The sequence below is a fragment of the Homo sapiens genome, chromosome 8 (genome assembly GCF_000001405.40).
Source record: "Homo sapiens chromosome 8, GRCh38.p14 Primary Assembly".
Lineage (NCBI taxonomy): Eukaryota > Metazoa > Chordata > Mammalia > Primates > Hominidae > Homo > Homo sapiens.
In genome coordinates this window covers 108,572,021-108,589,157 of record NC_000008.11, presented here as the reverse complement: position 1 = coordinate 108,589,157, position 17,137 = coordinate 108,572,021, and the positions used below count along the sequence as shown (strand labels likewise).

Sequence of the window (17,137 nt, the reverse complement as noted above, 5' to 3'; positions counted from 1 at the left end):
TTTATTTGTAGTTGGAAATCTATCTTCCTATGAGTAGGAGAGATGGGCAAAGGAGGGGTTACTGCTCCCCTTTTGGTAGGAGGCTCCAGCATCTCCATGGCCATTTATACATTTTAGGGAAGAGGAAGCAATTAGTCCCAAATTATTGCAGCTGAACCCTCCTAATCTGAATTCACTGCCAGCATGCACACATTCAGCAATAGTCTTTTCCCCAAATACATGTCTTCCTTCTTGATCTCTGATCCATTCAGTTTTTTAGATTATCATGTAATTGATTAGATAAAAAATATATATAACAATAGTATATCTGGCAAAAATACTTAATAGAATTAGTTAACCAAATACAAAATTAACAGCAACTAGCCCAAGATGATTGTACATTTCATTTCTCTCCCCCACTGCCCTGATATTCTAAGTTTTGTGAAGTTGAAGACAGGGATGGGGAGACTCTTGCCCTTCGGGAGATTCACTTGTCTCCTTATTCTCAAACCCTTCTCATCTTTCTGTATGCCATATGAACCTAACATATTCTCCATTTGTTATACAGCGTCTTGTATGAAGTGCTGTATTTCTTTGACCATGAGAACAGCCCTGAAGCATAGCTCTCATTAACCCCCTTCCTCAAACAAATCAATTGAGCCTCAGGAAGGTTGTGTAACTGACCCTAGTGTGTCTAACCATTAGGAGCCCACTGGGGATTTAGGCCAAAATCTTGTGGTCTCACATTGAGTGAGGTCCAATGAACTCCTGTAGATGTAGTGACTATATGTCCTGGTTTGCTCTGAACAGTCCAGGATGGATGTCTGTTCCCTTTGCATCCTGCCAGACTTGATATTTTTCCCTGTCTTTCTTCACTTTCAAAAGCATCCCAGTTTGGACAATAAATGATGGGATGGCCGTGCCTTTGGAACACTGACTGATACCACAAAGGGGAAAGATGTGTTTTTTGGTTTCTTCCTTTCTCTCTTTCTCTGCAGCTTTGCTCTTGATTGATTTTCCTTTACATCTCAGACAGAACCTGCAGCCTCTCTTGGGGCATTCCTTCCAGGTTGGTCTTCTGAGAGCTTTTCTCTATTAGGATTGTATAATAAAACAGATATGCCCACCAAGAGACTCAATTGTAAGAGTGCTATTGTTTAAAAAAAAAAAAAAAAAACAGGAATTAGGAAGGAAACTTGGACTAACATTTACTGAATGCCCATAATGCGGTGAATGCTGTGCCAAGACTTTTACATAAATAAATTTCTCATTTTTCCAAAGAAAAACTGAGATTCAAAAAGATTAAGTAACCTTCCCAGGGTCTGAATAAGGATCCTAACCTTCATAGTGTGACTCACATGCTCACTTTCCCTCTCCAACATGCTGCCTCCTACTTAACTGCAAATATAATACATTCATGTGTTAATATAAAAATGTGACCAAGTGGATTAAGGTCTACATATTCCATATTTTAAAAATTTGTATTTTTCCAAGGCATTTTTGACCTATATACCGTTTTCTGTGTCACACAGCCATGCATTATTACATGGGCTTGTGGTAACCAGACATATTCATTTTTCCTTTTATTTCTTATAGAGTTACCAGTGATGTGTATGCCTGTGTGATCAGCTTCAGTAGTTTCGGTTTGGGATAGGGGCTCCTCAAGTGGCAGAGAAAATTCTGTCCATTGGTATATTGTTTTTGTTTTTTAATAAAGTTTGGCAGAACAAAATAAGGCTTCTCTGTAAAATATAACAATGCCAAGTTTACACAGCACTCACTTTTGAATTAACCTACAAAGTTTTGGGTTATTTAAAACCAGTTATTTAATGACTTCTCTCTGATAGACATTCTAGAGAGTCTACGGACTAAGAAGATTTTGGCTTGTATATACTAAGAGAACTGACAAAAAGCACTGAGCTGAAGCGAAGAAGTACAAGTCAGAAAGGCCACTGCTAAGAGAACAGATTTGAGTAACTTTTAAATGTTTTCACCAGCAAAAAAGGTGATGTTCGTGGATAATGCCTATGTTAATTAGCTTTATTTAGCCATTCCACAATGTATATGTACATCAAAACATCATGTTGTTTCAAGATCCCTTGGAAAGGAGAAAGTGTGAAATTACTCCAGAGACAAATGCCAGAGGCCACATGAGGAAGAGCACGGACTGTGGAAGCAGGCTGCCGAGTTTGAATGGCAGCTTGGATGCCCACTAGTTACCTGACCTTGGGCAACTTTACCTTTCTGTGCTTCACTTTCTTTCTGTACAAAAAGGGGGTGGTGAGAGCATCTACCTTGTGGGGTTCATGATCAATGTACAAATCCCCAGTTTTCAAAAAAAAATCATGTTTTATACCATAAATACATACAGTTTTTAGAAATAGCAAATAGTTTACAACAAACAAAAACAAGCCAGAAAGAGCATATTTCTGTCAATTACCTATGCTCGTTCACAAGCAGGCAGGGCTACTTTTCTTCACAGTTTGATGTCACCAACCTTCTGATTGTGGCCCCCTGTCTGGAAAAAAAGGGCATTTTTGTGTTCTTATACCATGTGTGAGAACACACCTCCCATGTGAATTTGGTGGTAGCCCTCAGTACAATCCCCTCCATTCTTCCCAGCCTTCCACATATACAAAGCTTCTGCTTTGTGGTCCCTGTGGCACTTTTGTGAATCTGGGGACACTCCAAGTGAATGACTCAGAATGTTTCAGCAGCCAAAACCAGGGCACTGAGCATCTCTGGCCCAGCTGCAGAAACAGCCTGCCATTAGCCAGGTTCTCCTGGAATCTATCCTTCGCCCCCAGATAAACAAAAAGGAAACATAAAGTTTTCACATCACAGCTTGCAACCAAGGGAAATTGTGAAGCAAAGTCTCCCTCTGCAACTCCTTCTGCAGCAGAATTCCAATCCCCTTGACACCAGGCTGGGACTAGAGCTCTGAAAGGAGTGTAAAGCAGCAGAAAGAACACTGTCCTGCAGACTGGGTGCTGGTCCTAGTTCTGCCACCAACTTGCTCCATGACCTTGGGCAAGCCACTGCAATTCTCAGATGTTCAGAAGCTTCACTGTCAAACAAGAGTGGACTCTATGCTTTCTGAGTTTCTTCTGGCTCAGGTATTGCAGGATTCTCTGAGTTCCTGATTAACTGGTTCTTACTAATGTATTACATTATTGTACATTGTAAACAAAAAGCCTCATCATTTATTCTGCCTGTCTCCCATGAGATAGAGAGCACTTTGGGGACAATGTCTGTACTGTCCATTTATGCCCTAAGACCAAGTATAATGTCTGACACATAATAGGTACTCAGGAAAGGGGGCCCAGCTATTTCTTGGCTAGCCAGCAGCTGTAACTGAAGGTCATTTAAGAAGGGAGGATGCTACAGCTGATTTTCAGCAGAAGAGTTACTGTAGAACAGGCCATACTCTGTATTGCATTTCAAATCTTATTTCAGTGGCACTGACTCTACCACTTTATGATCAGCTTTAATTCATCACATTAATATGTTTATCAGTATAATCCATATGTCTATTTGCTTTGTTTTATTTTCAATTTTCTCAACACAAAATGTGTGGGGGAAGGGAGAAAAAACTCCCCTTATGTTGTTAACATTTCAATTTGGAAGTGCTTTTCTTGCTGTGTCATTTAAACAGATCTCACCTTCCAAAAGTAAAAACTAGCCAGAGATGCTATTCTTCATACCCTAGCCCTTCTCTACTAGCTAGTACTGCAATGTATTAATTGGGTTCATTAATTAGTTAATTTGTTAATCAACGGACTTAATGGAAGAAATAATATTACAAAGAAAACATGAGAAAGCAAGAAAACCTGTTGAATCAATAACTTTGGTGGGTCACTAAATAATATTGTGTCCAAATTTCATTACCATTGCCCAGGCTTCTGACAAGTAAACTGTGGCAGTCAACGTGCCAGATTCCCCAAATTAAACATACTTCTTCATAATTAAATATCACAGCTTCATTGTTCCGATAACAAAATTGAAATATTTTCCACCACGATAACATCCTTAGCAGTTAATGTCATTGGAATAGAATGATGTTACCACATGATAATAGGCTCTCAATGCCAAAGTCAAGTTAGACTGTTTATTTTCAAAGCAGATCATTACATTGACTTTTTTTCCATTACCAAGTGATTGATGTAGCTTTAAAGGTGACCAACAAAAATTTCACAAAAAAATGATCTAACGATGGGGTTATGTGCTGAATGATTCAAATACCAAGGGAGATGCCACATATAGCAGCATAGAATCCATTTAAAAATTAACCTTTACCAAACCTTCAGCAGCAGTTTTGCTCTGCAAAATGAGAGCAGCTGCCAGAGGCTCCAAAAGTACCTCAAAACACAATAAAAGCTTGTGTTGACATAGTCCATTTGTCGATAACTATGGAATTCTGGAATAGAACACCTGCCAACAGAGGAACCTGGTGTACAACTAACAGACATGAGCCAACTTATCTTGACAAGCAGCCTGAAGAAAGGTGGCACTACAAATACCAGGCCCCACAAACCAAAGAAAAGCCTTCCCACACCCACACGCCTCCTAGACCACAGCTCTTTCAGCCACTTGGGGATAAAATCCTATCAGTGAGGTCATCTTCAAATACTAAAGACTAACAATGAATACCATTCTCTGAGACTCAAAGAAACTACAAAAGTCCTTTCAGCCAGAACATGCTCAGTGCAAATGATTGCATTATCACATTTTGTCTCTCTGCTTCAGAGGAAGGCAAAGGGAGAGGAGTACTCTCTCTAAAATAAAAATGCTAGGTGATTTAACTTGGAGTGGTTGACTTTCAGAATCAGATGTGGCATTGGAAAAACACACCAAGTTCTGTACACTACTCATTTTAACAAATATTTAATGAGTAAGGCATTGTGCTAAGGGCTGCTGGAGGTTGAAAAAGAAAACAAAACAAAACCCAAAAAAAGTCTACTTTACCCAAATCATACTGCCTGTTCACTGTTATTTATTTTCTCTGCATGAAGTCATTTGGGCTGGGAGAGTTCCAATTGAGCGTACTTTGTACAGTCAGTGCTTGCTGCTTGCATGAGATGTGTGCCATGCACAATATTTTTGATGTTGATGTTAATTGGTGTTGAATACAACTTATTTATAATTCTAAAGAATTATACATGTGTTATGGATGCCTGAGGCTTCAAGGGCCTAAGTTGCATGTTAAAGACTAAAAGGGGCTGGGCACGGTGGCTCACGCCTGTAATCTCAGCACTTTGGGAGACCAAGGCAGGCAGATCACCTGAGGTCAGGAGTTTGAGACCAGCCTGGCCAACATGGTGAGACCCTGTCTCTACTGAAAAAAAAACCCAAAAATTAGCTGGTTGTGGTGGCAGGCGCCTGTAATCCCAGCTACCTGGGAGGCTGAGGCTGGAGAATCACTTGAACCCAGCAGGCAGAGGCTGCAGTGAGCTGAGATAGTACCACTGCACTCCAGCCTGGGTGACAAGAGCAAAACTCCATCTCAAAAAAAAAAAGTAAATAAATAAAAGGGACAGATTTATCAACAGGACAATCCAGTAAGGTGACACTAACTAGTCACTGGCAAGTATAATAGCCAAAGTGTCTGACAAACAGTGTTAGTACAATCTTTAAATGATTGCCCATTTATGAGAATAAGCACAGTAATCCAGAGCCCCTTAAATATATTTCAAGATAGCATTTCTCAGTGTCACATGTTGCCCTAGGGAAGATCCTGTCCACTCAGGGCTAACCAAGGACTCTTCAGCCCTGATTGATATAGCTGTCCTACAAAATCCTTAGAAATGCTTTCATGCCAAGCTCCTGTCCAGTCCTCCAGCAGCTTCTGCTGTGATGTCCCCTACCTGAAGGAGATTATCCTGTCAATAAAGTTTCTAGCTCTAGGCATGCTTGATCTAGTTTGATTTTTCTGTAATGATCTGTTTGGATCTCTTGCTCCCATAGTCTTTGTTCTACTTTTTTAGCACCCTGTGCTTCTCTTCAGTAGCACTTATCCCACTTGTTATTGGTCTAATATCTGTCTTTCTCATTAGACATTAAGCAGTATGGCATAGTAGTTAACATCTGGCTTGTTCTCTACTGTATTCCCAAAATTTAGCACAGCCTTGGTGCATAGTAAGGGCTTAATTAATACTTGCTGACTTTCTTGATTCTCACATCCTAATCTTTACCCAGACTGGAACCTGTTCGTGGTCAGGGGGAACACTGAGTTCTAGCTTAAAACTCATGAAACTCTTAAGCAAGTCAAACTTGCTACCGAGGTCAACTTTACCTTGTGCTGCCTTGTAATAATGCAACATTTGACTTATTCCTCAGAAAAAAAAAAAAAGAAAAAAAAAGCCCTAACTCTGAACCCTAGTTTGCTGGTCTAAGGCTGTGACCATGGCTTGTTGCTATTGCCAGTCCTCTCTTGGTGAAGGTAAGTATTGCATGGGTACCTGCTGACAACCTTCCCTCATGGCCCATATTTCATAGTCTCCACCTCTGGACTCTGCCTATTGGTTAGATTTCTCAGATGCTTTTTCTTGGACTTATCTGATGCTGTTTGCATAGAAATCTTTCTGTTGCTTATCGTCATACTCTGACTCATTCGAAACCTAGTCTAGCTTTGGACAACCTTACTGCTAGAAGTACCATGCAGTTTGTATCGCATATATTTTTAAAAGCTTTATGTCACTTGTTAAAGATAATTAATATACTATTTTGATGTAAAAATTTTGGAATATCTTCATAATTTGTTGTAGAAATTAAGTAAAACACGTAATTCATTTAATTTAAAATAATTAAATAAATAAAGTAGCATCGAATTCTCTGTAGTCATCATTTATTCTTGAGACTTTTGGCAAGTTAAAAATATCCAGTCAACAAACTGCTTTCAAAAACAATATTTAATTAATAAGAAATTTAATAGGTAATAGAGTAACATGATGTTATACCTTGTATACGTTAAACATTTATTAGCTTCAACTTTGCTGTTATCTTTTCATATTTTTTAAGCCTCAAGTATTTTTATGGGCCCCTGAGAAGCTTATGGTCCCTAGGCAATATTCCTATAGTGTCAAAGGCAAAAAAATGCCTTGTCTTAAGAAATATTTTTATTCTCATGAACCAGTGTAAAGTTCCACAACCTGGCCTTTGCCAGTCTTCTAAGACTTGCAAATCTGAACTCTTTAACGGGCAGCTGTGTCATGGGCGATAAACAAAGCTCTTCCGTTGGGTTAGTGAAATCTCCATGCTATGTTGATTTCCCTATCATTGTTAAATACTGATAATTTTTATAAAGACTTAGGACCCTAGTCAGTGATCTTTTCAAAGAGATGTATCTGAGAGGCACTGTGACCCACCGAAGTTTCCTCAGCCACTCAGTAATGCAAGCCTTCATCAGGCTCAGGCAAAGCAGTGTCTCCTGCCTAATGCAGAGCCCAGGACAGACTTTCTCCTGGTAACCAGGCAGGCACTCAAGGACAAACATGCCATACCAACTGCAATTAGATGTGGGTCCCAAAATAGACACTCCTGGTTATAATATTAATTTACTTCAAATTACATATGCATCTCTAACGTATTACCAAATAATATGTTTCACAGATATTGGAGATGGGAAAACTTCATTAGATCATACAATTCTCTTTCTCTCTTTTTTTTTTCTGGCATCTAAATGATTTCTCCAGTACCCTATAATTAGTGGAATTGGTCATGACCAAACTGTCAACTATTCTGGAAGCACTTACTTAATCATGTTAGCAAGGGACAGGTAAAAATGTGATGTAATTGAGTCTGTATTTGCTATTTTTGGGAATTTATTTCTACCCACTGTATTGGCCCCACAAATAGAGGTTATTTCATGCTGTTTCAATAAGTAATATGCTGTTAATTCATCTTTCTAATCCACATAAGTCTGCTAAAGATCTGAACATGGTTAATTATTTTACATTGCTAGAAAATTTCTCCTACATTCCTCCAGGGAGCCAACTGCTCATTTATAGATACATCAGTGAAACGCACCTGGGTTGGTCCACCAAAGACTCAGTTCCTTTGGATAAAACCTGCTGGATTTCCATCTTCTTTGGTCAGATGATCGAGCAACAGGAGCAATGTGCTGAGTCTGAGAAGTGCAGCTGGATTAAAGGCCTGGGTCTGCTATTTACTGTTTGTGAGTCACTGGGAATTTTTCTTAATGTCTCTCTCTCTCTTCTTCACATCTTCATATAGAAAATCCTGCTGGGAGTAGGACCCGCCCATAAGGTAACTTGTAAAGATTAAATGAATTAGAGTAGTAAGCAGTCATAGAATAAATGTTCAATAAATGAAATGTGATTTGTTTGTGCCACAGAGGCCCAAATATTTGGTCAAACATTATTCTGGATCTTTTTGTGAGGATGTTTTGGATGAGATTAACACCTAAATCAATAGACTGAGAAAAGCAGATTGTGCTCCCTGATATGGGTGAGTCTCATCCAATCAATTAAAGCCTTGAATAGAACGAATAAAATCATCCTTCCCTGAGTAAGAGAGAATGCTTCCTGTCTAACAGCCTTCAAGTGGCAACATTGACTTTTCTGGTACCAAGCCTTCCAGTCTTTGGCCAGGAACTATACCATTTGCTCTCCTAGTTCTCAGGCTCTAGCCTTGGACTGAGATAAACCATCCACATTCGTGGATCTCTTGCTTGCCAATTTACTCTGCAGATCCTGGGACTTGGTCACCGCCATAATTGTGTGAGTCGATTTCTTATAATAAATCTCTTTATATACATGTGTATGTGTGTATATATAATTATATATGTGTATATATACATCTGTATGTTTGTGCATATCTATCTATCTACAGTCATATGCCACATAACAGCATTTCAGTCAATGACAGGCTGCATATATGATAGTAGCCTGATAAGATTATAATGGAGCTGAAAAATTCTTATCACCTAGTGATGTCATAGCCATCGTAACATCATAGAACAACACATTATTCAGGTATTTGTGATGATGCTGGTGTAAACAAACCTACTGTGCTGCCAGTCATATAAAAGTCTAGCACACACAATTATGTACAGTACATAATACTTGATAATGATAATAAACCACCATATTACTGGCTTATGTATTTACTATAATATTGTTTGTATTGCTGTTTTAGAGTGTGCTCCTTCTACTTGGTAAAAAATAAAGTTAACTGTAAAACAGCTTCGGGAAGCTCCTCAGAGGTATTCGAGAAGAAGGCAGTGTTACCATAGAAAACAACAGCTCCATGTGTGTTATTGTCCCTAAAGACCTTCCAGTGGGGCAAGATATGGAAGTGGGAGACAGTGATATTGATGATCCTGACCCTATGTGGGTCTAGGCTAATGTGTGTGTTTGTGTCTCAGCTTTTAACAAAAACGTTTAAAAGTAAAAATGAAAATAAAAACTTTTCAAAATAGGAAAAAGTTTATAAACTACAGATATAAAGAAAATAATCTTTATAACTGTGAAATGTTTGTGTTTTAAGCTATCACAAGTCAAAAGTTAAAAAATGTAAGTTTATAAAGTAAAAAAGTTACAGTAAGCTAATTTATTATTGAAAAACTGTTTTTGTAAATTTAATGTAGCCCAAGTATACAGTGTTTATAAAGTCAACAATTGTGTAGACTCACAACTCATTCACTGACTCAGCTAGAGCAACTTCCAGTCCTGCAAACTCCATTCTAAATGCCCTATACACGTGTATTATTTTTATCTTTTATATCATATTTTTACTGTACCAGTTCTATGTTTAGATATGTATAGATACACAAAATACCACTGTGTTACAATTGCCTGCAGTATTCAGTACAGTAACATGCTGTACAGCATAGAGGCAGTACACGTAGCCTAGAGGCAGCAGGCTATACCATATAGCCTAGATGTGTAGTAGGCTATACCATCTATGCTTGTGTAAGTATACTCCATGGTGTTTGCATGATGATGAAATCACCTAACAGCATATTTGTCAGAATGTATCCTCATTGTTAAGTAATATAAAATGTATGTGTGTGTCATATATATAATAGATATTGTATATATAATGTGTGTGTGACATTGTCACTTAATGACACATACATATACATAATATAATAAATATAATATATGAGGTGATATACATGTTATGTATATATAAATCTGGCTTGAAGATGGATGGGGCCACGTAGGAAGAAATGTGGGAAGCTTCTCGGATGCTGAGAAAAGTCCCTTACTGACGGCCAGGAAGGAAACAAGGACCACAATCATACAACCACAAGGACTGAATTCTCCCAGCAAGCTGAATGACCGACCTTCGATGTGAATTTCTCCTAGAACCTCTAGACCAAAGATCTACTTCTTTCTAAAAATTCTCACTAATATCCTAGGAGCATAAATTAATATTATCATCTTATAGGAGCAGAAACCAAGTTTCACAGTCATTAATCAATCACCCTTTCTAAGATCACAAAACTAGTAAGTACTAGAGCCAGGATTTGAACTAAAGTCTCCTTAAAGATATAGCTTGGGGGTGGATGCAGTGGCTCATGCCTGTAATCCCAGCATTTTGGGAGGCCAAGGTTGAGGGATCACCTGAGGTCAGGAGTTTGAGACCAGCCTGGCCAACATGGCGAAACCCTGTCTCTACTAAAAATATAAAAAAATTAGCTGGGCGTGGTGGCAGGCGCCTAAAATCCCAGCTATTTGGGAGGCTAAGGCAAGAGAATTGCTTGAACCCAGGAGATGAAAGTTGCAGTGAGCCAACACAGTGCCACTGCACTCCAGCCTGGGAGACAGAGTGAGACTCCGTCACAAAAATATATATATATTCCTGTTCTGTAGTAAAGAAGAAAATAAAGCTGAAGAAAATTACTTTTAGCTGAAGACAGGACAATATTTCATAAAGGAAATGTCATTTAAGCTGAGCCTAGAATATAAGTAGGATTTCACCAAATAAAACAATCCAAAGTGGTTTTGGGAGAAGTCTGAGAATTAATTTAGTTCAGATCATACCTGAGACTTAAATGCCCTCTACTTTTAGTCACTCTAAATTGATGCACGGCTTCTGCTTGGATGCCTCAGAGAGGTGATAGATGTTCCATTAGTAAACCTTGAAAAAACTTTCATTCCTGGATTATGTGGTTCTGTCATTTTAATATCCTTACTATTTCTTTTTTCCAAAATGAAGATACATAACCATAACACAGAAAGCAAGATTTTAGATATGAAAAATCTGATCCTAAAGAATATTGTCGGCCGGGCGTGGTGGCTCACACCTATAATCCCAGCATTTTGGGAGGTCAAGGCAGGTGGATCACCTGAGATCAGGAGTTCGAGACCAGCCTGGCCAACATGGTGAAACCCTGTCTCTATTAAAAATACAAAAATTAGCCAGGCTTGGTGGTGGGCGCCTGCAATCCCAGCTACTTGGGAGGCTGAGGCAGGAGAATCACTTGAACTCGGGAGGAGGTTGCAGCGAGCTGAGATTGTGCCACTGCACTCCAGCCTGGGCAACAAGAACAAAACTCTATCTCAAAAAAAAAAAAAAAAAAAAAGGATATTGTCAATTTTGGGAAGTGATCATAGCAGGATATTAGCAGGGTCAGACTTGCATTTTCAAAGATCTCTCCAGAAATGTGGAGGATGTGAGTGGGTTAAGGGAGGAGAAAGATGAGATGAGACTCTAAATGAGAGTATATCTATAAGTATGGAAAGCAAGAACAGACAGAAAGGAATATTGAGACATATGACTGGAAGTATCAGCAATTTATTGATAATAAAAAGGGATCAATCAAAAACGAGTCAAGTGTCTGGCTGGGGAGATAGGATGGATAGTGAAATGGAGATTCAAAAGGTTGAGCAAATTTTTAGAGCAAAGGTGTTTGGTTTGTTTCCATACCTAAGACATTCGAGGCATCCCTATGATCTGAGGATGAAATATTACTTCTAGTTACCGTAGAGGTGAGGTATGAAGAGAGACATTGGGGTGTCATCATTAAGGTGACAACTAAAGCCCTACAAATGGGCAGGCCTACCCACGGATAGAAGCTAAGGAAGGACAGCAGTGATTAAAGGATGGAACCCTAAGCAACACCAACACTAAGAGCGGGAAGAAGAAGGGAATTGGGAAAGGAAGGAGAAATTGTAGGAGAAGCAGGAAAAACACAAGGGGAAATTTATTGTATATATTTTTCCCCTGCTATGGTATGTATGCACAAGCATAAGTTAAGAAAAATTATTGAGAAATACTATTTTCTTATTTAATCACTCCCATATAATTAAAGACTGCCCATCCTCCTCAGTTTTAAAATAGTGTACAGTGAGTTCCTAGTTCACTGGGTTAGGAAAAAACAGAGACAATGTGTCAGCACTTATTCCTCTGTTTTCTGTGCCAATTCCCTCTTCAGTCTCCAGGCTGTCGCCCTCTTCTGTGAATGTCCATATCATGGGTATTTGAGCTGAAGCCCTGGCAGCTCCAGGCTGCCCCTGCACCATGTTTTTTCTCTTACATGAAGCCTCGATTAATCATCTTTTGCCTTCGAGTGAGAAACTCAGTTCTTGAAAATGAAGAAATTCAAGTTTCGATTTCAATTAACTTAGCTTGTGACTGCTGTATCAATGGTGAATCATGCCTCTTTGAGGAGTGAGATTAACAAAAATAAATGAAAGTAATGAGGGTGGCAGCCAGGGCAAAATCACCCTTTCATTACATTACTTTCTACCAAATAACTTTACAGTGTTCCTATCAGAAGGAAGAAAAAAAAGACTTCAGAAGAATTATAATTGGCAATCCTTCATTAGCAAAAATTAAATCAATCAAGAAAGGCCTCTGGTTCTTTGATTTGGGTCCAGCATATTCACTTTCCTCACTTCCAAAGCCTTGGTTTCATGTCTCCCCCAACCCCCTACTTAAATTTGCAGCACCATGACAACCATTATATATTTTACTTGTGCATCCATTTAGAATCTATTTTCCACCATGCAAAGTCCATGAATGTTGAAGGTTTTTTCCTACTTTATTCACAACTGAATTTCCAGTATGTAGAACAATTTTTGACACATAGTACATGTTCAATAAATAAATTACTTTTTTCACATCAACATCAAATTTATTTCTACTATATTATATGATGCCAACAAATAAGATATAAATTATTACTAAAAATAATAATAATATTAACAAACTTGAGAGATATGTAGTGAAAATACTCCTAGTAGTGTTCGTATGGAGCTACATAACCTTGAACAGTTAATTTCTCTGGACTTTATTCATCTATAAGACAGTGAAGCAAATTAACCCTTAAGATCCCTTATAGCTCCAGAATCTGAGGATTCTAAGTTTAGGGTAAACCAAGGAAATGAAAGAAGAGAATGGAAGGGTCAATATCTCAGAATGCTTTTAATAATGGAATGGTGGCCTCAAAGGGTAAAATGGGACAGAGGTAAAAGTGAAAACAGGGTGTGGGGAAGTAGAGAAAGTGGTCAGTCAACTCTGAAAAGCAGGGCAGAAATGAGAGAGTTCAAGAAGAGACAGTTCATGAAGTGTTTGTCTTAGGCAATCATTGTGCACTTCAGGATGAAAGATACAAGACCAGGGATGCATTTATCATCTCTTAAGAAGTTGTTGAGGAAGAAGTTCTGAGTTAATAACTGCAGGAAGGAGGAGAACTACCCAGGAACAAAGTTTTTGTTGGGACCCTGGTATTGCCACCCATCCCTGAGGAGCTTCGGTTTCATGGCTGACTCCAGGCTGCTGACAGTGTCTTTTCATTCTTGGCTATGATGGTAGAGAATGAGCTGATGAAGTGATTCAGATACATCCTTACACTTGAAAAATCCAAAGAAAATTCTTAGTGGCCCCTCCTAGAAAATCTCAGGGGATGGTTCATCTACTGCAGGCCTTTCCCCTCCTTCTTGCCTCTGCTCACCACCACAAATAAAAGAAAGTTTTTCTGAATACTTATTTTGTTTCACAAGGCCCCAATCTCAAACTAATCTGCAGTTAAAATGTAGACATTGGAGGGGATTTATCTTAGAGAAAGTTCAACTTTCTCAATAAGTACATACTTGCACAATATTCAAAATGACTTTAAGTAAATATTTGGTTTCATTTGCTCCATTCTTTTTTTTTCTTCCACTCAGGAAAGAATGCACCAAACACATTCACATCAATTTTCTTTCTTTTTTATTTTTTTAAGCAAATCACAAAGACCCAGCTTACCAGCTTTCCTTTTTTGTTTTGTTTTGTTTTGTTTGAGACAGAGTCCTACTCTCTCCCCCAGGCTGTACGGCAGTGGCGTGATCTCGGCTCACTGCAACATCCACCTCCCAGGTTCAAGCAATTATCCAGCCTCAGCCTCCTGAGTAGCTAGAACTACAGGCACACACCACCATGCCCAGCTAATTTTTTAAATTTTTAGTAGAGACGGGGTTTCACCATATTGGCCAGGCTGGTCTTGAACTCCTGACCTCAGGTGATCCGCCCGCTTCGGCCTCCCAGAGTGCTGGGATTACAGGCGTGAGCCACCGTGCCTGGCCACAGCTATACTTTTTTAAACCTAAGCTTAACATTACATATTTAAACAATTGTCAAAACGTATCAAGTTGCCAGCATTCATGCACAACTGGAAAACATTCTTAATTTATATTAAACCAAAAATGTATTACCATTATTTAATTAATATCTTTCACTACTAAATACTGAAAAAAAAATTGAAGTTATTTCTGTACAACAGGGGTCCCCAACTCTCGGGCCACTGACCTGTAGCAGTCTGTGGCCTGCAGGAACTGGGTCACACAGCAGGAGGTGAGCAGTGGGCAAGCCAGCAAAGCATCATCTGTATTTACAGCCATTCCCCATTGCTGGCAATATCTCCTGAGTTCCATCTCCTGTCAGATCAGTGCAGTATTAGATTCTCATAGGAACGTGGACCCTACTGTGAACTGCACATGTGAGGGATCTAGGCATCATGCTTCTTATGAGAAGCTAATGCCTGATGATCTGTCACTGTCTCCCATCACTCCCAAATGGGACTTCAGGAACACAAGCTCAGGGCTCCCCCTGATTCTACATTAAGATGAGTCGTATAATTATTTCATTATATATTACAGTGTAACAATAATAATCATAGAAATAAACTACACAATAAATGTAATGTGCTTGAATCATCCCAAAACCATCCCCAACCCCCACTCCAACCGTGGAGAAATTGTCTTCCATGAAACCGGCCCCTGGTGCCAAAAAGGTTGAAGCCTGTTGCTGTAGAAGATTCATCCTGTCAATGTTAACTTCACAGCAGGACAATACTAGGAGGCTCACATTTCAGATACAACGGGAAAGCAAATCCATGCTGGTGTTAGTATGCAATCTCATCCTACTACAAAATGGTAAAGTCTCACCTTGGAGTACGTTTAATAAAAAGGCAAAGTGCACACAGAGATTTCAACAATTTTAAAGACAAAAAAAGGTCCCAACGATAAACTCAAAAGTCTATGACAAATAGGGGCTCTGTTGAGCTGTTTGTAAATACTTTAGATTAGGTACAATTAAACTGAAAGTAGTGTTTGTTTGAAATCTTTAAAAAAAAGTTCCTGTTGGCCTGGTGCGGTGGCTCACGCCTGTAATCCCAGCACTTTGGGAGGCCGAGTTGGGCAGATCACGAGGTCAGGCGATCAAGACCATCCTAGCTAACACGGCGAAACCCTGTCTCTGCTAAAAATACGAAAAAATTAGCTGGGCTTGGTGGCATGCACCTGTAGTCTCAGCTACTCGGGAGGCTGAGGCAGGAGAATCACTTGAACCCGGGAGGCAGAGGTTGCAGTGAGCCGAGATAACACCACTGCACTCCAGCCTGGGCAACAGAGCGAGACTTTGTCTCAAAAAAAAAAAAACAAAAAAAAAAAAAACAGTTCCTGTTAATCCTCAAATGGCACTTGTTATTATTTAACATTTCTGTTAAATGCATGCATTGAATTACTTGTTACCCAAGCCAGAAGCTGCTTCTTACCTTTTATCGTTTAGGACTTTAACTAGCTGTCTTTTTCAACATCTATTCCTTCTTGACAATCCTCGACAATCCTCTTTGTAGTAATTTTCCTGCCAACCATTTTAGTAGAAGTTGATAGAGATTTAAAGTTACCCATCCCAGTACCACCAAATGAGGTGGAAGAGAATGAAGTGAGACCCCCATGACCTGAATGAAGTAAATCCAAAGAAGTCAAAAACTTCCACCAAAAACTTCCCTGAAGACATCACCTGGGTTACAGAATGTGAAGCCAAACTCACGGAACTGTCAAAATGACTTCCACCTCCTCTCCGCCAACTAATCTTTCTTTGCCATATTTTTCACAGATGTCCGCTTTTTAGCATCTGACAGCACTTCATAGGCCTTGGCTACTTGTTTGAATTTTCTCTCTGCTTCTTTATTCTCAGGATTTTTATCTGGGTGTTACTTCAGTGCCAGTTTTCGATATGCCTTTCTAATATCCTCAGTTGAGGCATGTCTCTGCAAGCCCAGAACTTCATAGTAATCCACCATGTTTTAACAGATTGTTGGAACAGGTCCCAGGACAGAGGCGACTGGCAGTGAGATACAGGGGAGGCGAAGTGGTGGCCCAGGTCTCCTCTAGGCTCCAGCACCGCTGTGCTGGTGGCAGCGGCCTGCTCCGCTCTTTAAAAACAAAATCCAACTGACAAAATAACATCACTAAAATTTCATTAAATAAAAAATCACTAACATCAAATATAATCAAATAAAAACATAACTATTCCTCTAGCATAGCTACCTACAAATGCAGTAGGGTTTCCTAATTAAAACCGAAAAGAAAATAAACTCACCAAATCCCACCGGAATTCATTGAATGCGGCTAAAAAGTTTTTAAATATAGAACAGTGAGCTTGCTTTGTGAATAAGTCTGTGCATTCTTTTACTTGTTTATTTAAATTATAACTGCTGTGTTTAAATATTACAAAGAAAATAAATATATCCTTTATTGAAAGAAGTGGAAACAATAATTTTAAATGACTTAATTAGCTCTACCAATCCATTCAGCTACTGCTTTTTAGTCTGTACTAGCAGGAAACCATGACTTCCTGAATTTGGAAATGATGCATAGCCCCCAATAAACTTACACAATAATGTGGCCCATTTTTTCTTCCAAAC

General features: G+C 39.1%; 1 pseudogene; it reads right to left on the bottom strand.

Moving 5' to 3' along the window:
• Positions 1-16,024: 16,024 nt before the first annotated feature.
• Positions 16,025-16,513, bottom strand: LOC101060000 (dnaJ homolog subfamily B member 6-like; annotated as a pseudogene).
• Positions 16,514-17,137: the final 624 nt, after the last annotated feature.